Source organism: Homo sapiens, chromosome 2 (assembly GCF_000001405.40).
Source record: "Homo sapiens chromosome 2, GRCh38.p14 Primary Assembly".
In the NCBI taxonomy this organism is placed as follows: domain Eukaryota; kingdom Metazoa; phylum Chordata; class Mammalia; order Primates; family Hominidae; genus Homo; species Homo sapiens.
The window spans coordinates 155,792,103-155,816,398 of NC_000002.12; the positions used below are offsets into that span (position 1 = coordinate 155,792,103).

The window sequence follows — 24,296 nt, forward strand, 5'->3', positions numbered from 1 at the left end:
CCTCTCCCCTGGCAGTTAAATTATTTCATGTCTAAATCATTCTTCTTCACCTAGTAACAATTAAAATATCTCCCTTTTTCCTCCCTGTATTGATCTGCTTGGGTTGCCATAAGAAAATTCCTTAGACTGGGTGGCTTAAGCAACATAGATTTATTTCTCACAGTTTTGGAGGCCAAGAAGTTCAAGATCAAGCTGCCAGCAAGGTAGGTTTCATTCTGAGGGCTTTTTCCTTAGTTAGCAGATGGTCACGATTTTTCTATGTGCTCATATGACCTTTTCTACATGCATTCAGAGAGATCTCTGGTGTCATATAGAAAATAAAATTTTTCAATATAAATAAGAGTCAACAAACATAAAAAGCAATAGGCTTACATCAACACCTCTCTAATTTTGGAATATAGAAGAACAATAGGTGATGGAAATAAAATACTTTTTATACTATAATTATATCTTCATTAGGACAAAAATCTCTTTAGCTTCCTCATGTACCCTTATAATCTATTCATATGATAGCATTAATAAAGCCTGTTTAAAATGATTACAAAGGTAAACAAATATATAGAATATATGTGGAAATAACAATACACCAGGAAAATAAGAACAGGAAGTATTTTTATAAAGAATCATATAGAATTTCTAGAAATAAAAATATGAGGATAGAAATTAAAAACTCATTTTATGTGCTAGAAATCAGATTAGACACAGCTGAAGAGAGAATTTGTTAACTGGAAGATACATTTGAAGAAATTACCCAGTATAAAGAAAAAAATAAAGAATTTAAAATATAGAAGAGTCATGGATGGTAAAATAAGAAAAAATAATATATGCCCAACAGAAATACAATATATGTCTAAAAGTATAAAGGGAAAATACAGAGAATGGTGGGAGGCAATGCTTCCGGGTAACAGGTGAGAATTTACCAAAGTATTTGAAAGAGTTGAATACTCAGATTCAAGAAGTACAAGTGACCCTTATACAACATGGGTGTGACCCATGTGGGTTCATCTATACATGAATTTTCTTTGCCCTTTGCCATACCTGACATGACAAGTGTATTTTACAAATGATTTTTAAATAACATTTTCTTTTCTCTAGCTTACTTTATTATAGGAATACAGTATATGTACCTATAACATCCAAAATATGTGTTAATTGACTGTTCATGGTATCTATAAGGCTTCCAGGTCAACAGTAAGCAACTAGTAGTTACGTTTTGGAGGAGTCAGAAGTTATATAGATTTTCAACTGTGTAGAGGGTTGGCACTCCTAATCCTAATGCTGTTCAAAGATCAGCTGTATAATATGTTGTAAGTAACTTTCTTTATTTTTTTCATTGCTTTCCACTGTTTTAAGAATTCAGACTGAATAACAATATTTAATTTATTTAAAATCTCAGTCAGACTGGTAAGTATACTATTCTAGTGGCAAATTAGTAAATATTGAAGCTTTTATTCTGGCACCGTTTCATTTTGTTTTCATATTGGTGCTATGTAAAGCTATGGGATTACTGTTGGGGAGGGGGTAGATGTGAAAAGGCCATTCTATTGATTAATGAACTTTTATTCCAGAATTTGTTTCTCCACATTGGAAACCAAGCTTAACCTGTATTTAATAAGCAAGCAGAGTACATTTGAAAACACAGGGTGTACTCTAAGAGAGACCAAAAAAAAATTGATGAAGGAATCTTCTACTTTAGATGGAGTTCAAAACAAGATAAAGTGAAACAGAATTTATGTGACCAATATAGTACCAACTATCAGAGCCTAAATCCAGTTATCAGGCCAATATCACACATTTAAATTGCCGGTTTCATAGTGGTAATTTAAGGTGTGTCCCACCCCCTAGAAAACACTATAGTTTCTAACACTTAACCTAGTTTATAAAGTCTTTTCATTGTGTTTACATATGACAATAACATAATTAGATATAGAATTGCTAAACATTTCTCCACAGGTAGTATTTATGCTTTTGTCTAAATAAATTTAGTTACAAAGAAAAGGCCAGTGGCATCATATATTTGGTTTTTCATGTTATCTTTATTTTTATTTCCAGTAGGTGTGTATAATTTTTCAGTTCTTAAATATAAGAAATGAAAGTAATATGTCTCCATAGAGTATATTTATTTCAGCTTTATATAAAACAATACCTTTTTTTAATCCTTAGACTAAGTATTCAAATGCAAATATGTATTCTTTTCGGCTTTGTTTTAGAAATAATTTTATTATGCAAAATTCATGCATATAAAAATATATAATGTTCATGTGAAATACAAAGAATGATATTGAGCTAAATATTCATACAGAAAACACCTTGTTCAAGAATTATAACAGTAATAGTACATTGGCTTGCAAGACGTTGTAATAAAATTGCACTCCCTGAGAAAATCACTATTCTGAATATAGTATTCACAATTAATTTGCCTTTAAACATTTTAACAACATATGGATGCATTTCTAAATAAATATGGTTTATTTTTGCATAGTTTTTAGCTTTATATGAATGGAAACATTATAAGTTCAGTATGTTGCTATCTACTATTTTTACTAAATCTTATATTTGTAGTAGTTATATTAGTTTGTTTTCACATTGCTATGAAGAAACACTTGAGACTGGGTAATTTATAAGGAAAAAGGTTTAATTGACTCACAGTTCCACATGGATGGGAAGGCCTCAGCAATCATGGCAGAAGGCACCTCTTCACAGGGAAGCAGGAGAGAGGATGGGTGTCAAGCAAAGCAGGAAGCCCCTTATAAAACCATAAGATCATGAGAGAACTATCACTCACACTCATGATAGTGAGAACGCTCACTATGAAAACAGCATGGGGGAAACCACCCGCATGATTCAATTATCTCCACCTGGTCCTATCCTTGAAGCAAGGTGATTCTTACAATTCAAGGTGGGATTTGGATGGCAACACAGAGCCAAACCACATTATTGCCCCACTGGCCCTTCCCAAATATCATGTCCTTATATTTCAAAATGCAGTCATTCCCTTCCAACAGTCCCCCATAGTCTTCACTCATTTCAGCATTAACCCAAAAGTCCAAGTCCAAAATCTCATCTGAGACAAGGCAAGTATCTTCCACCTATGAGCCTGTAAAACCAAAAGCAAGTTAGTTACTTCCTAGATACAATGGGGGTACAGGCACTTGGGTAAATACACCCATTCCAAATGGGAGAAGTTGGCCAAACCAAAGCTGGTACAGGTCCATGCAAGTCTGAGATCCAATAGGTCAGTAATTAAACTTTGAAGTTCCGAAATGATCTCCTTTGACTCTATGTCTCACAACCAGGTCACACTGATGCAAGAGGTAGGCTCCCACAGACTTGCACAGCTCCACCCCTGTGGCTTTCAGGTTACAGTCCCCCTCCCAGCTGCTTTCACAGGCTGGTGTTGAGTGCCTGTGGCTTTACCAGGCACCCAGTACAAGCTGTCAATGGATCTACCATTCTGGGGTGTGGAGGATGGTGGCCCTCTTCTCACAGCTCCACTAGGCATACCCCAAATGGGGACTATGTATGGGGTCTCCAATCTCACATTTCCCTTCCACTCTGCTCTAGTAGAGGTTCTCCATGAGGGCTCCACCCTCCAGCAGACTTCTGTGTGGACATCCAGGCCTTTTCATACATCCTCTGAATTCTAGATGGAGATTCCCAAACCTAGATTCTTGACTTCTGTGCACCTACAGCCCCAACACCATGTGTAAGTCACCAAGTCTTGAGGCTTGCATTCTCTGTTCTCTGAAGAGCAATGGCCCGAGTTATACCTTGGCCCCTTTTAGCATGGCTGAAGCTGAAGCAGCTGTACTGTAGCGCACCATGTCTCAAGTCTGCACAGAGCAGAGGGGCCCTGGACCCAGCCCAGGAAAACATCTTTCCCTCCTAGGCCTAAGAGCCTGTGATGGGAGGGGCTGCTGTGAAGGTCTCTGACATGCCCTGGAGACATAATCTTCATTGTCTTGATGGCTAACATTCAGCTCCTTGTTACTTATGCAAATTTCTGCAGGCTGCTTTAATTTCTCCTCAGAAAATGGGTTTTTCTTTTCTGTCGCATCATCAGGCTGAAAATTTTCCAAACTTTTATGCTCTGCTTCCCTTTTAAACATAAGTTCCAATTCCAAACCGTATCTTCGTGAATGCTAAAACTGAATGCTTTTAAGAGAACCCAAGTCACCTCTTGAATGCTTTGCTGCTTAGAAATTTCTTCCACCAGATACCCAAAATCATCTCTCTCAAGTTCAAAGTTCCACAGATACCTAGGGCAGAGGTAAAAAGCCACCAGTCTCTTTGCTAAAGCATAGCAAGAGTCACCTTTACTCCAGTTCCCTACAAGTTTATCATCTCCATCTGAGATCACCTCAGCCTGGACTTCATGGTGCATATTACTATCAGCATTGTGGTCAAAGCCATTCATCTTGTCTCTAGGAAGTTCCAATCTTTCCCACCAATTTCTGTCTTCTAAGCCCTCCAAGTCTCTAGGAAGTTCCAAACTTTCCCACATTTTTCTGTCTTCTTCTGAGCCCTCAAAACTATTCTAATCTCTGCCTGTGACCCAGTTCCTAAGTCACTTCCAAATTTTCAGGTATCTTTATAGCAGCACCCCACTCTGCGGTACCAATTTACTGTATTAGTTCATTTTTACACTGCTATGGAGAAACACTGAGACTGGGTAATTTATAAGAAAAAGAAGTTTAATTGACTCCTGTTGCACACGGCTGAGGAGGCCTCAGGAAACTTACAATTACAGCAGAAAGCACCTCTTCACCGGGCAGCAGGAGAGAGAAAGAGTGCCGAGCAAAGTGGGAAGCCCCTTATATAAGTATCATATCTTGTGAGAACTCACTCACTATCAGGACAAAGGTATGGGGGAGACTGCCCCCATGATTCTATTATCTCCACCTGGTCCGGCCCTTGACAACTGGCATTATTAAAATTCAAGGTGAGATTTTGGTGAGGACACAGAGCCAAACCATATCAGTAGTCTTCCATTTAGAGTTGCATCTCTGTATCTACATGATGTCTTTTCACTATACACATATATTTCCATTTATTTCTGCATTCAAATGTTGAACAAATTTTTGTGTTTGTTGTTATAAACAATATTTCTAATAACATTCTTTCATATATCTCCTTATGTAACATGCAAGGTTTCACTAGGGTATGTATCTAGAATTTTGAGCATCTTTTCATGTTTTTTAACTGTTTATATTTCCTTTTGTGTAAAATGTCTACTAATGTCTTTTCTCTTTTTTGATTATGTTGGGATTTTTTCCTAATTGCTTCTTAAAACAATTGCATAATGCTTTTTGCCTAAGTCTATTCTGACTGATATTAACATGGCTATAAATATTTCTTTCATGTATTCATGTAATATCTATATATCTATATATACTATTTATATTATTCTGTATATATATACACATATATACTTATTAAACTATTATTTTAGTAATTTGTATTGTTTTTGGTAGTCTATCTAGACATTTACAAATAATGACAGTTTTTATATTTTCCACACATTTGTACCATTTATTTTTACTTTTGTTTTTGGGTTACTATGTTGACATCAAAATGCAATAAAATAAAGAACAGAAATGAGTAAATATGAGTATTCTTGTCTTACTCCTATCTTAATGGAAATAAATTTAACATTTCAACATTGCTATACTACTTGATACAGGATTTTGATATATATCTTTTTCAGATTAAATAATTTCTCTTCTTTCCCTGGTTTTCTAATAGGTGGTTTCTGTTTTACTCATTTACCATAAGTTGGTATTTACTTTATCCAAATGTTTTCCTCTGCATCTTTTATTAATTAAGTTCTTCTTTTGCTTTTAAAATTGTTCAGATAGAGAATTAAGTTGATGACTTTTCTAATGCTAAATCCATTTGCATTTCTGGGACAAATCCTACATGGTTTACATATTTTATACTTTGATGGATTTAATTTGCTCATCTTTATTGGTTTTTGCATCTGGGATCATGATTGATATTGGCCTACGATTTTTCTTTCTTATATGTTTCTTATTTGATTTTGGTTTTAATATTATATCAGCCACACACATATTTGCATGTGTGTTTGTTTTGGGAAGTGCCCTTTCTTGTATTGTCCTCACAATTATTGGTTTATTTTTGCTATTAACTACATTTGGTATTGTTTAATTATTATTTGGTTGAACCACCCTGTAAAACTTTCTAGCTTTCTTTATGTGCTGATTTCTATTACTATTTTAATATCTTTAAGAGTTATAGGACCATGTAAGTATTCTATGTCTTCTTGAAGCTCAATTAGAAAGCTACATTTTGCTTTCTAATTGACATTAGAAAGGAATATGACAAATTAGTATACATTTTCAAATTTCTAATTCACTGGCATAAACGTTGTTCATAATATTTTTTAACATCATCTAAATCTTTACTGTATTTACTCCTGCTTTCTTAACTGGAAATGTGCCTATTTGAGCCTACATTCTTTTTATTTTAAAAAGTCTTGCTGAAGATTTAACAATTTTGTTAGTCTATTCAAACAACATATTCTGGCTTTTTTGATCATGCTAAATGTTTCATTTCTGACATCAATTTTATTTTAATATTTTCTAGTTTTTATTTTTTAAATTCTTCTATTTAGGATTGTTTTTTCTGTTCTCATTATTGGAATTTGATTGCATAACTTATTTATGTTTGCCCTATCATAATATAAATATCTTAAGGCTACAATTTTTTTACTGTTAACTTTAGCTATACCCACTAAGTATTGATATATGAATTTTTCATTGATTTTTAAATATTGTCTAATTTTATTTTAGATAATAGATTCTTGAGATGTTCTTTTTAAGACCATTTTTATTTCTTCTAAACTATATCTTTTAAGTTAACTTGGGTTTGAATATTATTCAGTTTTTTTCTAGACATGAAGAAAAGGAAATACACTATCCTAAGGAAGATGAAAAATCCTGGAGGAAAAGAATACTTGGAAGAGTTCTAGTTCAAAGTCAGATATTGTGACTTGAAATATCAGAATCCTAGACAAATGGAAATGTAAAGAAGGTAGACAGAACTCAGAGGGAAATACAGGCCCGAAATATAAGTTTAAAAGTTGTTGGCATAGAGATGTATTTAAAACCCCCAGGAATTAATATGATCTTCCGGGGAGAGAGTGAATGATTAGAACATAAGAGGGCCCAGGACCATAGTCTAAGGAATCCCAGCATCTAGACATCAGGATATTTCAAGTGATAAAGTGGAGGTAGCTTAATTGATAAGGTGAAGAAACATACTTGTTAAGCAGAGTAGAGAAATAATGTGGTAGCTGAAGGGGGACATTGGTCAAAATTTTTGTTTCGCCTTTTTTTTAAGGAGGAAAGTACAAGAGCATGTTTGAAGGCTGATAAAAAGAATTCTGGAGAAAGAGAGTGATTGAAGACAAGAGAAATGAGGAAAAATCTAGAGAAGTAAAAATGCAAGGGAACCTAAAATAAAAAGCCTGACAATAACGGATGTTGTCAAGGAGGTGAGACAACCAAATTTTAATTTAATGTTGGTGGGAATATAAAGATAAGCATTAATTTTGTAAAAAGGCCCATCAGTTTCTTATAAAAGTAGCAATATACCTACTCTATTATCAGCAATTCCATTCAGATATTTTTCCAAAGGAAATATAATCATATGTCCATAAAAAGAATGTTCAAGGGGGGTGAGGGATAAAAGACTACATATTGGGTAGAGTGTACACTGCTTAGGTAACAGATGCACCACGATCTCAGAAATTACCACTAACCAACTTATCCATGTAAGAAAAAGCCACCTGTACTCTCAAAACTATTGAAACTAAAATCATAAATAACAAAGAATGTTCATAGAAGTTTTATTTATAATACCTAAAAACTAGAAAAAGTCCAAGTGCCCATCAATATGAGAATAGATAAACAAACTTCACTATATTCAGAGAATGTAATACTATTCAGCCATAGAAAGAAACAAACTACTGATACATTTAGCATGGATGGATCTCAAAAAAATGATTTGCAGAGCGAAAGAAGCCACCCACAAAGGAGTACATACTGTATTATTCCATTTTATATGAAGTTCTAAAACAAGCAAAACTAATCTGTATTGAAGAAACAGAACAGCAGTTTCCTCTCTTGGGGTGGAAGTAGAATATTGATTAGAAACGGGATGAGGGAATTTTCTGGGATACAGGTAGTGACCTACCTGATAGCGGGCTGGGTTATACAAACATATGCATTCATCAGAACTCAGCAAGTATATATGTCTTGTGTATGTAAAATGTACTTGAAGAGAAAAAAATATGGTAAACATATATTAACCTCTAGTTAATTATAGGCATGCTGATGTATTTAGGGAAAGTGTAATGTCTGCGATTTCTTATAAATGCATTAAAAATTATAAGTTGGATTGATGGCTAGATAATTGGATATGTGATGAAATGTTTATAGTAAAATATCAATGGTAGAATTTAGGTAGTGGCCACATAGATGTTCACCTTGAATCTGTTTGAAATTTTGTATCACAAAATATTGGGAAAATAAGCAGTAAGGAGATAGTGCCTGGAGATTTTTGGTTGGACTGGTTTTTTTTTTTTTTTTTTTTTAATGCCACTGTGAGGGTTTAGATGGAAAAAAAGGGTTCAGAGAAGTGCTGATCCTGAAATGAACCAACACTGACTGAAAAAGAAGAAATGGACATAATTAAGTCTCTTATGCAGGATAAAATTTTTCAGAAAACCCAGTGGCAAAATTATAAGAAATTTCTGCACATTTTCTATTACCCAACTTCTCATCAGTTTGTAAGGTTCTTAAGGGTGTAGCCAACATATATTTTTCTCTGTACACTTGACCTGTGGTGACCATGCAATGACATTTCAATTAATCAAGTGCTCCTCCTCTTCTTCTATCGTATTCCTGAACCATGCAAATGGCCAAAAATCATGATCTTGTAACTGCATAGAGAATCTTCTTTTCGATGTCTTTCAGTGAATTTAAAATCTATTCTTCACTTTAAGGATCTTTTCTTTTGCTCTCTAAATGTTTTGGAGTCAAATGCATCTTCATTTCCTTTTTTGCATGTCCCTCTGACAGCTGATGCAAGCTGGCAGAAGATGAAAAGTATTTAAAGTGTGGCAGCAGGGCTCAGTTCACATAAAGCAATCATCTTCTCCTCCAACACAGTCTTGATCACTCTGAACTATGCTGGTTAAACAAGTCCAATCTCACTATAGTACCTCATACAGGATTTGAATTTTCCTTAGAGGGGGCATGCCCTCATTCATTTGTTTGCATGTTTGCATTTTCTGTGGCAAGCAAGGGTGAAAAAACCAATGAAAGGTGACGGTCATCTCTAATGGAGAAATGCTGGTGTAGACTAACCTGAAATGTGCTGTTCCGGCATCAGGGCAAACCTAAGCATCCTTTATGGAAAAGGAAAACACCACACATAAGAAGCACTGCCATCCCTAAAATGTTCCTTAAATGCAGTGTGCCCTTTATGGGCACACTATATAAACTGGACCAAGAAATCCAAAGCACAATAAATCTTTTTGTTTCCTTCTTTAAATGACAGAAAGTTTCAGTAATGTTCTACCATCCAGGTTGACGAAAAAAAAGTCAAAGCAAAATGAGTTGAAAAGTGGCATGTACATTCAAAATTTAAATTTCTTTCCAGTTCAGCAATGTTAGATGTCATAGGTAACGCAGGGAATACTTATTTAAGTGGTTCATATACTCTTAAAAGGAATCAAGATTAAAATGAGGAGGTGCACATAATAGCATAAAAAGGAGCAAAATCTCAAGCTTTTTTCTAGGTGAAAGATTAGTCATTTAAGTCCTTTGAATCCAGAAAGCAAACAGCAACTGCTATATTTGCTTGCTTTACAAACATGCTTGTTAAAAATAGTTCTCTAGACATTTCTACTCTGTTAAATATCTAACATACACTTTTTTAAAAACCACCCTTTACTCATTAAAAATAAGGAACTTTGAGGTACATTTGATGTGATCAAACATGAGTGGACATATAAACTCAGCTTTAAGTAGCATGACACATCCAGGCATTTAAAAATATGTTTAGAAATTTTAGTACACCTTATATTGAGGAGTTTTGTTTTTATCTTTGGTATTGTTAGTGCTGTTCTAGAGTAGGTTAGTATATTCTTTTATTATCAAACATAAAAACAAATGAGAAAACACTTTTGTTTCAAATTCTGATTTTTTTTCTTCCACATTCTAGTCGTTACTGGTATTAGACACGTAGACATGTAGAAAGATAAGGGACAAGACACAGATAACGCAAATAAAAATTGAACAAAACACAGGAAGATGACATTTACAATGCAGCTGACAAAGCCAGTCACTTCACTTTAAATAATGTGGCAGGCTGCAAAACTATAGTAATTACTAGAATTTCATTTTCATTAACTAATAAACCAAGGAAAACAATTTAAGTATCTGAATGTCATTTTTCAAATGAAAATAAACTGTAAACATTTGAATAACATCACAGCAGGGATAATATACCTAAGGAAATCTATTGAAATATGTTAGTGGATTCATCCTCTTCTATCACATTAAAACTGCAATTGACTGTAAACCTCCTACCACTCTCCACTGAGACTTTAATTGTAAAGATTCCTGTTACATATCATATTAGAATTTAGTTAAAATTGTAGAACACATTATTTCCAATCAGACAGCCAACCATCACTCACAAAGATTTTTAAAAAGGTGATTAATAATTCATCTCAGATAAGGAAAAGATCTATATTTATACCATCTTCTCAGCCACCATAAACTACCTGACAATTGTTCAGTAATGATGCCCAGTAAATTCTTTAAAATGGTAATTTGTCATTCTGTCACTTCATTTGTGACCTAAAATTCCTCACTTGAGGCATCATCAAATAAATTAATCACTTTCCAGGATCCATTTCTCTGTTCTGCACGTTATTATGCCGGGGCTCTCTTGTGTTTCTCTTCATTTACATATATTTAATGGCTGAGCCGTGGTTCACGATGGCACATAACGCACACATCTCATTACAGGTGAAATATTCTAACTGCCACTATCACTGGGAAAGAAAATAACTCTCCCAATTTAATTTTCCTGATGTAAGAAAACCATGATTCTTCACTATGAAATGTTGATGCCATCCATCAGTCACAATCAATAAAATCATCATAGAAGTACGCCTTCTTCAGCATCTTTCCTTCATACTGGTATTATTTGAGGAAGGTAATTAAACTCATAATATGTAATGAATGTAAATGAAGTAAAAATCCTCATATTAGCTCTCTAACTATGCTTATATTACAGCGTTGATTTAAAATATTTTCCCCAACTTATAAATACATAAGACCCAAAAAAAGAGCTATCAGCTGTAAAGACAATATTCATCAATAAATAGAACTAATTTTTAAAGGAGCATTTTAAATGTAAAAGTACCAAGTATTAACTATTTATAGATTTTTCACTTAAAATGATACATTCTCTTTGGATTTGTATATTTCCAAGCTTTCTGAAAATGTAGCTAGTACTTTGGATGTACATGTTATCATGTCACAAAATTAGTGATTTTTTTCAGTAACCTGGTCTACTTGATTCCCGCCATTTAAAGGCTGCAGGTACCATCTGTTCTCAAGTAAGAAATTTTCTTGTTGAACTGGCAATCTCGCCAATCTCTGCCTTAAAAAGCCTATGAAAATGTAGATCAAAGAAGCAGGACATTTTGCAAACAGTGGTTTGGGAATTAGCCCTTCAGAACTATTTCCACGTACTGTAAATATTCATCTCAAATTGCTATCGTATTATTTTTGTAAAGGTAAATAGGGAGTGTTTTAAAGTAAACTAGTGTCACATAAACATCACCCTGACTCTAAGTATGTTACTACTTAATTTAACATTCATTAACTAGTTCTCCCCACATACCTAGGAACATTAATTTCAGGGGAATGGTGCCTTATAGAAGTCCATTTGGAATGAGGATTCCCTTCATTATGAATTCATCATCAAAAGAATGGCGACTTTCTTTATCTTGGAAGTGGTCCCTGTTTGCCTGTTTAAAATAATGCTTGCAAGAGTGTCTAAAATACAAAGTGAAATATTAATTGTACATCTCTGTAACAAAGGAGAAAGTAAGTGAATACCACTGCTCCACAGATGAATGACCTAACTACAATATTGACAAACCATCTACACAGTACTATTTTCTTCCTCATTAATTATCATATAGTTATTTTTAATGGGCATTTATTCAAGAAAAAAAAAGACTGCAAGTGCAGTTTGTATGTGTTTTCATTAACACAGCAGCAGTCTGTTGACCTAAAGCAACACACCAACACTCACAGACCTAGCTGGAAAATAGTGATTGACCACTTTCTGGAGTTTTTGAGGGACTGTCTAAGGTGCATCTGCATTTTGGAAAATGCAATCAGTTCAGACTGAAGCAAGAACTGACAGCTTTCATGGGTGTTCCTATATGAGACTGGACTGTAGTCCCAGATGATCTTCTGGTATGGAATACAGCTCATTGAATCTTCAAGTACACATCAAAGTGACTTGGAATGGCTCATTGTGATGACGGTGATAGGGGATAGAAAATGAACTTCTACCATAATCTGACAAAACAGATACAACTCATGTCCTATAGATAATATTATTAGGATACAGTGGTGTGGATTAGAAGACATAAGCTTGAAAAGTTTTTGGAAAATCTTATAAAAACTATAGACAGATAATGCTAAATGTATTAAAACAGAGGCACTGGGCAGAATATATTAAATTGCTTTAAACAATAGGAAAAAGAGAGAAAAATGCTATTTACGAATCATGAATAAACTCTATGCATTTTAGCAAATTTGGTGCTCTGAAAATTTAATGAACTAAAGTATATTTTAAGAATAGAAAAATGAAGGTGAATAAGGTTCATGGCATGAACAAAGGAAAGAGGAAAGATCCTTGCAAATACAAATGCCTATATTAATTATGTTAAATGTACCACAGAAACTTGTGATTGCCCACATTGTGGAATAATGCGCTTAACAAGACCACACCTTCAATGGGAATAGGAGACTTTTCTTTATTATTTAAATAATCATCTCCTTTTTGCAGAAGCATTCACTCCCCCAGTCATATTTATATTATAATTCTGCTAACAAAAGCTGTCCAAGCTGAGATCCTTTGATATTTTACTCATAGACACCTAGCCATTAACATGTGTACCATAATAATAGCACTAGAAAATATTGTTACTACAATTGGTTGCCTCAAATATTGTTTTCTAAGATCACAGAAAATTTGAGTTAACAGTTAGTAAACAGTTGCTAAATTAATGCTGCTTGGGGACTTCCAAGTAAACTGAAGTTTCTATGGGGCTAATCTTAGTAAACCCAAGGTAGAAAGCTTAGTTTAGCCATCTGTCTATGGCCAAAGGTCAATGTTTATAGACTTAAATAACCAGTTTTGCCTGAGACAAAACACTGGCGAAAATCCGGATTACCCTAGAATGCAAAGCAGTGTACTGGGGCTCAACCAGGCTGTTTGAACCACTTGTTAACTATGTGACTTTGCATAAGTTACTTTTCCTCTTGAGAGTCTCTTTCTCCTGATCTGTAAAATGGGAACTAAAACAAAACAAAAACATAATTCATAGTGTGGCTATCAAAATAAATAAGCAAATGGATGAAAGGGAGTTATAGAGCTTTAAATATTAGGCTAAATTACATTTCTTTTTCTTTGGTGGTGCATTAGTCTGCTAGGGCTGCCATAACAAATTACCCAGACTGGGTGGTTTAAACAACAGAAATGTATTTTCTCACAGTTCTGGAGGCTGAAAGTCCAAAATCGAGGTGTTGGCAAGTTTGGTTTCTCCTGAGGCCCTCCTCTCCTTGGCTAGCAGACAACCACCTTTATGTTCTATACTTATACAAATTTTTCTCTGTAAGCTTTATTTTCCCGTGTCACTTTATTTTCTCATAAGGACACCAGTTATTGGATTAGGACCCTACCTTATGACCTTATTTAACCCTAGTTTTCTCTTTAAAGGCCCTATCTCCAAATACTCATATTGGGGTTAGACCTTTAACATCACTTAGGCATTTGAGGCAGATTAGACATCCTGTCCTTTTGCAGTTAGGTAGGAACTTGTGGCTAGTTTTGGCCAATTGGTCATGATTCTGTGCAACCATTTTAACTCTTTGTGTGAAGCTCTCCAACACTCTATTTTCCTGCCATAGTGATCTGATCTTGAGTTGAGATGAAGTTTCACACGACCTCATGAGGCAGCCCAGTCAGCTGGGTCTCTACATGGAGGAAAACTACCTGAGGTGACTCAAAACTGCAGCAGACTTTGCAGGCCCAAGAAATAAACCCTTATTTTGATAAACCACTGTAGAAGGCATGTCCTAAAGTGAACCCTGATGAGATGTGCCCTTATATCATCTATTCTCATTGAATGTAGGCAAAACCAACAATTTGCTCTTACCAAGAGAACATAGCAAAGGTAAGTGGATGGTCAACTCCTTGAATAGGTTATGTCACATGGCAAAGATAATGGGATGTCATACCCATGACCGTATTATGCTGTTAGAACAGACTCTGTCTTACAGACTACAGGAGAAAGACTCTCTTGGTGCCCTTAGAAGCTGCTATGATATGAATTGCCCAAGGAAAAGGGCACACAGCAAGAAACTGTGAAAGGTCTCTAGGTCCTGAAGGCATCCCCTAGCCAATAGACAGCAAAAGAACTGGACTCTTAGTCTTAAAATTTTAAAGAACAGAATTCTACCAACAACTATGTGAACTTGGAAGAGGACCTCAATCTCTCGAAAGGAACACAGCCTGGTTAACTTCTTGTGTGTAGCTTTGTGCCATTCTGAGCAGAAAACTCTAGTAAATTGTGCTGAGACTTCTGATTCATTAACACTGTGAGATAACAAATGTATTTCACTTTGAGCTAATGAATTGGTAACAATTTGTGGGCTGTAGTAGAAATGTAATACAACTGCTGAGATTTGGAGGCTTTTTGCCTTTACAGAAAAGACCTGTCTTGACTGGCATTGGAACAATTGGTTAAGGTGAAAGCAATAGGGGCTGGTTGCCAAAGCATTTGGATAGAGGGTGGGTTGAACAGTCACAACCAATGTGAGTACAGAAGATTGGACTGATACCACTCAGAAGCATGTCACACACATATCCTACCATTACTAGTCTCTCACTTGCATTTGTGTTTACTGGAAAATGTGAAGAGACATACTTCTTGAATTTCAAGATATCACAAAGTTTAGAGGGTTATCATAAAGATTGGATTTCAAAAATAAGATCTGAGGATACCTATAAGTATAAATCTAACAAATATCAATTAAAATGAGACAAAAAGTAGGCTCGTTTTTACCAAATCCTGCTCTAAACTTTAACAACTACAACTACTTAATTTGCACACCATGAATTCAACTGCTCCTCTTACCTAATATAAGAGGAGTAAACCTGAAACAATCATCTTTCATTCTGGAATATTTGACACCACATTTAATCTGATGTCATCCTCTTTCCTCTCTTTAGTATCTTCAACAAAAGACATGTATTAAAGACCATGCGGGCTTATACACAGAATAAATAACAGAACAATCCCTGCATATGGGATGCTTTACATCTAAGATACTCCTTTGCACTCATTGAAAAGAAAAGATGGATATAGTTAAAATACAGTAATGAGTTGCATAACGATGCTTTGGTCAACCATGGACCACGTATATATGACAGTGGTCCCATAGATTATAATATGGTAGTTTTTTACTGTAGGTTTTCTATGTTAGATATGTTTACATAAACAAATACTTATCACTGTGTTACAATTGCATAGAGTACTCACTACAGTAACATGATGTACAGATTTGTAGTCTAGAAGCAACAGGCTATACCATATAGTCTAGGAGTGCAGTAGGCTATACCATCTAGGTTTGTGTAAGTACACTCTAGGATGTTTGCGCAATGACAAAATCACCTAATGATGTATTTCTCAGAATGCATCCCTGTCATTAAGGGACACATGACTGTAGTGAAATACACAATTCTTAAGCATGCAAGGAACTAAATTCTCTAAAGCTTAGAAAAGGGCTGGCTGATGAATCACAAAATGGGATCTTAAAGCATGACAAATTCAGAGTCTTTGTTTGCTTGTTTTTGTTTGGGGGTTGGAACACCAAACAAAACATCAGAGACAGCCCTGTTACTTCAAAAAGGCAACATCACAATAGAAATAATAAAGTGCAATATTTTCTCTACAGTATGTAGAACATCAACAAGTACATTAAGTAAATAATGTCTCTTATACACATTGCCATGGGAATCCATGATAAGAAAGCTCATGGTATCTGTTTGTGTATAAGCTTAATAATATTCTCTACTGTCCAATAGAATATAAACACAGACCTCATTGAAAGCATGGTACTGTCTCGTTTAATCTTTGATTTTTTGTTTTTGAATGATTTTATAATACCTCATTCAAAAATGCTAAAGTGGCTTCCTTTTTTTCCTCTTTTGACAATGGATTGCAATAGGTACACTGAGTTCTATATCAAGGACTCTAGGCTGTCTATATTGAAACATTTAAAAGGGAGAAGTTGTTTATTGTGAATAATGCTGCTGTAATTCAGATGGGCAGTGGGTATGTGAACTTGAGCATTTTCAGTGAAACGATGCCCAGTAAATACACGAGCATTTTTTCAGCTCTGTATATTTTGCATAATTGGATGGAATGGAACTGACAAGTACAACTAACTAATTCCAAAGTTTCTCCTAATTAAGTCATTTTAGTTCTAGAGAGGAAAACTTAAACCCTGAAATGTGGTCTCCCTGTTTTTCTTGCTACACAATATAGTAAGGGTTTTTTTTTCTTTTAAATTATTAACATCATCATTTGCTGTTTTGGTGTTCTGTGGTACTCAATTTCAATGACAACAATTAGTAGTAGATGTGCATTTGTTCCTCAATGCTGGGAATTGAATTTTTTTTATAAGCACATCCTGTTTTCAGTAATTGGATATACCACCAAGGAGTAAAACAAAAGATGAAACACCCTTCAAAGGAAGACAAATGGAATTAATATTCCAACCGGGTAATTACAATCCACGAGCCTAAAAAACTCTTGTCCTTTCCTTTTCAGTACCAGATTATTGTGCAACATGGCTCTGCTCTGTTACACTTAAAGCCTACTTTCTTACACCAAACACAAGAATGCTTTTCAAGTTTGGGTTAAAATAATTTATTTTAATGTTTAGAGGAATGAGTTCTTTGACTTTTTTGGAATTTTCTGGCAAAATACAGCAAAAGAACTAATTTTTCTCAGTGTTCTTGCTGCTCCTATCTTAATTTAAGGTTCAAATAATATGCATCCTTTACATGACACAATGTAACATGTAAGATTTATTTTGCTGAATATAAGTGTGGAATTAATGTTAAGAATATGGACAGGAGTCATACGAACTTGGTTCAAATCTTAATAATGTCATTTGTTAGCAGCATGAAGCACAACCCTGGGAAAGTTACTTAAACATTCTTAGTTTTTGCCTATGCACAATAGTAATAGTTTTTATCTTATTGTACATAATAATAGTAGTTAACCTTTGTGAGCATTTAATATGCATCAATCACAGTTCTAAATCTTTACACATATATTGAGTCATTACATGAACCACTTGGAATAGTTTCTGGTATATTCCGAGCACTCAATAAGTGTTAGCAATAATAATGATAATTATTAGTATCAGTAGCAATCCTAATAATAGAAACAGATGTAGTAGAGTTCTTACCTCATTGTAATACCGTTTGTTGTTACAGATTACAAGCCAGGCTCTTAATCTAAAGGGTGTTTCAAAGGTTCTCTTTCAGTTCTGGTAAGAAATTCAGAGAATATGTTATGAATACATATCAAGGAGAATGAAAATTTCACATTAAATCCTTAATATTTTTAAACTGACTTAAAAATATACTATGTATTGGCACAAAGTAAGTTTCATATAGGTAAGTATAGGAAAGCAATCTGGAGAAAACATAGATTGTAATGTCAGTTCTGAAAATTAATAGAGCCTTACTGAAATACTGAACACTTGTCAACTCTCACCTTTTCTATTAAAAATACAGCTTTTGTGATGATGGGGAGATGCTGGGTGTAGGAATAAAAATTGAAAATGTTAGGGTGCCCTTCTTCCCTATGAATATTACAACTGCTCTGTCTTTGGACCCAAAAGGCCTGACACCTCTTAAGTGGGAATAGAGTAAGAAGCAACATATCACATGCATACACCTTTGTGCATGCTCACAAGTGTATCCACTGCACTCATGAGCACATTTTCTCCCTAGTTCACTCACTTATTCCCTGGAGAGAAAATTTACTGGAATAAATTTGTAATCTCATACATAACTCTCTTTTGAAACTGTTAAAGGGTATCAATAATTATAAGTTTTGCCATCTATTTTAAAGTTAAGTCAGCATTTTGTTGTTCTTTGATATTTTTAAATGTCAAATAAACACATGCTTCTTGTTAAAAAATAAATCAGTTCAGTAGGACGTAAAGTAAAAGAGCTAAATCCTCCATTCTACTCCTTTGAAGGAACCATTGCTGATGATAGATTGGTTTACATTTTTGCAGGTATCTTCTAAACAAAAACAAATACATTCATACACACAGATTTTTCTACAAATTAAGAATATAAACACATCATTCTATGACTTGCTTTTTTCTCGACAACATATGACTATCCTTTCATGACAGTGTTCATAGGTTTCTTTTAACAAATATTTGAGTACTCTACACACATTGTGACACAAAACAAAATCTGGAGCTTACATTAGATAGGGCGATCAAGAAAGTAGGAGGGGATATTTGAACAGAGGCTTGAATAAATATATGAGCATGCTGTCCCAGGAAATTGATTTATCATTAGGACATATAGATTCATTCCATATTTCTACTATTTCAAGGAACTGAGTGATCAGTCCTATGTCAAATGAATGCTGTGTACTTCTGTGTACTTTATGAGTTTTTCCATCATAAAGATTTCTAAAAGTACAATAGATACACATTTAAAATGTTGACAACTATTTCCAAATTGTCCTCCAGTCTAGTTTTACTAAAGTACCTCAATACCTGACACCAAGACTGTGTAAGTATTCTATTTTCCCAAAACCTTGCCAACCCTGTAGACTGTCACACTTTTTCATTGTTCTGTAAACTTAATGGTGAGAAATGGCATTTCTACTTCCATTTCCCTGATTACCAGTGAGTTTACAGATCTTATCCTATATGTTATGACAATTATTATTGTTTTTTATCTTCACTACCTGTTTATATATGTATTATTTTTTTCCTAAGGGATGTGTAAGAGCTCTTTTTATATCCAATTTCCCTTTTCCATCAGTGGGGTTGAAAACAATTACCCAGTTTAATATTGATCTTTTGACTTTGCTTATGCTGCTTTTCTTAACAATTTTAGAAGTTTTATATAGTCAAAAATTACTAGTTTTCCAAGATCTATTCATCACTGAGTACCTACACTCTTTCCTAGGAGGCAAAGATATAGGATTAAAAACAATGTTTACAGGCCAGAAGCAGTGGCTCACACCTGTAGTTCCAACATTTGGGGAAGCCAAGGCAGGCGGACCACTTGAGCCCTAGAGTCTGAGACCAGCCTGAGTAACATGGCAAAACTCCATCTCTCCAAAAATTATCCCAGTGTGGTGGTGTGCACCTGTAGTCCCAGGTACTCAGGAGGCTGAAATGGGAGAATCACTTGAGCCAGAGAGGTCGAGGCTGCAGTGAGCTGTGTTTGTACCACTGCACTCCAACCTAAGAGACAGAGAAAGACCCCGTCAACAGAATGAGACCCTGTCTCAATTAAATATATATATATATAGACATAGGAATATATATATATGATTCTTATGTCATGCAAAGTATGAGGATAAGCAAGAGAGAGAGTAAAAAGGTGTTAGGGGGAGGGGGCTACTCCTTTATATAAAGCAATCAAGAAAGGCCTCTCTGAGAGGATGATATTTAATAAGACTCTAAAAGAAAGTAAGGAAGTGAACCACATAGGGGAACAACAGATGAAGCAGGATCCTACTAAGTGCATGTGAAGAATGGCAAAGAGGCCAAAGGCTGAGGGGATCCATGAGTGCTAGGCTGTGATGCAAGAAGCCACCGGAAGATTTCGAGCAAAGGGGTGACATTATCTGACTTACATTACAAAGGATCATTCAGGCTGCACCACAAGGAATAGACTATAGGACATGAGAATGAAAGCTAAGTAGAGAGAACATTTATCAGGAAATTGCAATAGCCCAGGTAAGAGATGTTGAGAGCTTCTAGGCATTTGGACACACTTATAAAAAATGTACTTTCATTAAACGTACAAAGACAACCAAGCATGGTGGCTGACACCTGTAATCTTAGCATTTTGGGACCCAGAGGCAGAATTATCACTTGAGCTTCAGGAGTTCAAGTCCAGCCTGGGCAACACAGTGAGACTTTATCTCTACAAAAAATTTAAAACGATTTGTTGAGTATGGTGACACGTGCCTATAATCCCAGCTACTCAGGAGGCTGAAGTGGGGGGATCACTTGAGTCTGGGAGGTCAAGGCTGCAGTGAGCTGTGTTTGCACCACTGCCCTCCAGCCTAAGAGACAGAGAAAAACCCCGTCAAAAAAAAAAAAAAAAGAGTAAAAAGACAGTATTTACAAATATTTTCAATTTAATTTAGGTAACTTATTTTAAAGTAAAAGGTAAAATAACATTTCAGTGCCTTTTTCCCACATTTACCTATGTTAGGATTGAATGTTATACACTTAGATCTTTTATCCACTGAGAACCTATTTTGTAAGGGACAAATTGAACATCAAATTTTAAGGGTTTTTCTCACAAAATGCTTTTATTATAACAATCATTTATTTAAAAATTTATCTCTTCCCCACTGGTGTGAGAACTTTTATTTCTATATGTACAGTCCTTCATCACTTAACAATGGGGATATGTTCTACAAAATACATTATTAGACAATTTCGTCACTGAGCGAACATGCTAGAGTGCATTATACAAACCTAGATGGTATAGCCTACACCTAGGCTACATGGCATAGCCTGTTGTTGTTAAGCTACAGACCTGTGAAGCATATTACTGCACTAAATACTGTAGGCAATTTTAACAAATAGTAAGCATTTGTGTATCTAAGCATTTTTAAGCATACGAAAAGTACACAAAATACAGTATACAAGATTTTAAAAATGGTATACCTGTATAAGGCACTTACCATAAATGGAGCCTGCAGGAATCTGGCTGAGTCAGTGAATGAATGGTGATTGAATGTGAAGGCCTAGAATATTACTGAACACTACTGTAGACTTCATAAACACTGTATATTTAGGCTACACTAAATTTATTTAAAAATAAAGTAATTGAACTATAACATTATGATGACTACACCATCACTAGGAGACAGAAAATTGTCAGCTCCTTTACCTTCTTACAGGATCACCACATTATATGCAATCTATCATTGACCAAAACATCTTTATGCACTGCCTGAGTGTACTTGAATATATTTCTGGACCGTGAATTCATGGATCTCTTTATCACTGTACCAGGAAAATGTTATTCTAATTATTGTTGCTTTTAATATATTTAATATATTTTTAGATTTAGTAAAGACAGTAAAATCATTATCTGATATAAACTAGCTACAACCCTTCTATAAAGCTATTGATGATAACTGATGTTCTCTATCATTATAAACCGAAAAAAGCAGAACATAAGGGCCAAAAAAAATTATGCTTTTTGAAATGTTACTTACATTTCAGAATTGTTTGATGGCCATTAGCACATGTTCCCAAAACTAAATCCTTCCTCTGTCTTCTGTGTTTCTTCATCCTCTGTTTATGAATTTCTATGATCCTCTATGAAAACAAATACTTCATTATGCTGTGTCTTATGTCTAATTGTTTGTGCATCCAAATCTGCAGATTTCCAGATGCTGGAGGACAGAAACACTACATATTAAATTCAAAGAGCTTAGGCATTTAGCATAGTTTGAAGCGAGGCTTTTTAAAAATTTTTGATGAAGTCCAATTTATCTATCTTCTTCTTTTGTTGTTCATATTGTTTTGCTCATATTTTGATGCCATATGTAAACAAACCATTGTCATATCTGCAATTGTGCAGATTTAGCCCTATCTTTCTTCTAAGAGTTTTAGTTTTAGCTCTAGCATTTAAGTCTTTGAAAAACTTTTGAGTTACTTTTATATATGATGTGATAGAATCTAATATCATTCTTTTGTACATGGATATCCAATTTCTCAATATCATTCACCTAAAACACAATTTTTCCCCCATTGAATGGTTTTGGCATCTTTGTCAAAATTAGATTAACTTTCTTTCTCTTTTCAAGATGGTTGACTAGAAACATCAGATACCAGTTTCCTTCAGGAAAAAAAAAAAGTTATCAAGGGGAAAGTGCCGGAGCCTATGAAAAACTCACAGGAAGAAACTGGGGCACAGACAAAGAAGGAAGCACGAGGCTGGCAGGGATTGGCTGGGAACCCAAAGGACTTGTTACTTCATCAAAAGGGTAGGTGTGTGTGGTATTGTCTCCCGTTGCCCCTGCAGTAGACTACCAGTGTCTGAACTAAGAGTGCTCCTCTTTCCTTGAAAACCCAAACATTGCTGTGAGTGTCAATTTAGGGACTTCTTAAGAGCATTACACCAGACTACCAGCTCACGCAAAGTCACTTGCCCTCCCGCTAGATCCAAGCTGTGGTGGTGAGTGCTATACTTTGAGTACACAGACTGGGGGACTGTGTCCAACTCAGGAAACCTCAGCCCTTGTGTCACCATATCACCAGAGACACTGCAGACATTCCCTGGCACCCACTTGGATTGTAACAGCTACACAGGACTTGCTGGACCCAGGGGAGCGGCAGGATTACCAGTGGTCTAGCCCTCAGGGAGGGCTGCTCCAGAGAGAAGGGAAAGAGCAGCATACCAAAGGAGTGTGAACGGAGAGGAGACCAGTGCAAACACTCTCCTGGCCCGGGAGCTCCAGCTGGTAGGCTGAGAGTGACTGTGCCACTTCCAGCAGAGATGTGGGTGGTGTGCTTGTCTCTGCAACAAAGGAGTGTGGTTCCATCCCAGTGGACAGAAAGCCTCAGTGCTCAGGCATGGACATGGAGAGGGAGAGAGGAACTTCTCCTCTCCCCACCTACAGCTTCAGAGACAGCCCTGGCTTCACATGTGATAGGTTGGTAAAGACACATCAGAGGATAGCCATTCTAGGGCTATTAGGGATGGCCATGTCCCCACTGGCAGTATGCCCACTGGGCCCAGGCTTGCATGAAAGATGAGGCCTGTCATCATCTCTACATGAACAGCAACATTTCTGCAGTGGTGAGCAGGAGAGCCAAAAACCTGAGTGTTTTGGGCTGAAAGAGGAGATTTTGCACAGAAGATATTTCAACAGTGAGCGAGAAGGCAAATGTCTTTCATGGCTCTTGGCTATACTGACTGCCGCCTGGAGATAGACGGCAGCGTCCATCCTATTTGCATGTCCCAAGCACTGAGACAAGGGTGTGGCAGGGAGCAGATCACATTTTTGCCTGCCTAGGCCTTGGAGCTGGGGCAGCCCTGCTCCTCCTCTGCAGAGATCTTAATAAATTTGACCCTGCCATCCTAATCAGGGCTGGTGCTTGTGCCTGATGTTGGGATTTCCAAGGGCAGCCTTGGTGGTTCAACTCAGCCCAGGTTTGTCCCCAACTCAAGGACTGAAAAGGGAGTTCAAGCCACTGTGCATTCCACAAACCAGTTCATGTCCCCAGACAAGTGAGAGCTTCACTAAGTAAACAAAGATCAAGCATATTCCCATCTGCCTTTGCTATAACCAGCTCTTACCCTTAAGCACCACCCACTGGCCTGAAGGTTGAATTGCACAACCCACTACAAAATCTGCTGACACAAGTGCACAGCACTGGGAAACAAAATAAGCTTCCTGAGACCTCTAGCATCCCAGCCCCACAGGAGGCAGTGAGTTAGCTCACACACCCAGTCCATCACTATTATAGCCAGCATTTTAAAAAGCCACCACACAAAAGTTATCTACAACCAAGGAACTTACACATTCTTTGCCACTGAAAGCACCCAGAACCAAACCTAAATGACCTTACACAACATACATTATACTCACATCATCAATTGGAAAAGAAAAAATTTCTTCCCAAATGAAACAATAAGTACAT

General features: G+C 35.8%; 1 long non-coding RNA gene across 2 annotated transcripts in view; it reads right to left on the reverse strand.

Annotated features, from left to right (window-relative positions):
- LOC105373703 (uncharacterized) overlaps nt 1-24,296 on the reverse strand; it is a 158,249-nt gene that overhangs the window by 36,038 nt on the left and 97,915 nt on the right. The window contains exons 6-8 of one of the 2 annotated variants that reach the window (XR_001739749.2): nt 21,863-22,042; nt 17,826-17,906; nt 2,017-2,746 (exon numbers count right to left, since the gene is read on the reverse strand). This is a non-coding gene — a long non-coding RNA (uncharacterized LOC105373703). Of the gene's footprint in view, nt 1-2,016; nt 2,747-17,825; nt 17,907-21,862; nt 22,043-24,296 lie in introns of those variants that run through there. The other variant, XR_007088689.1, reaches the window with a different exon arrangement.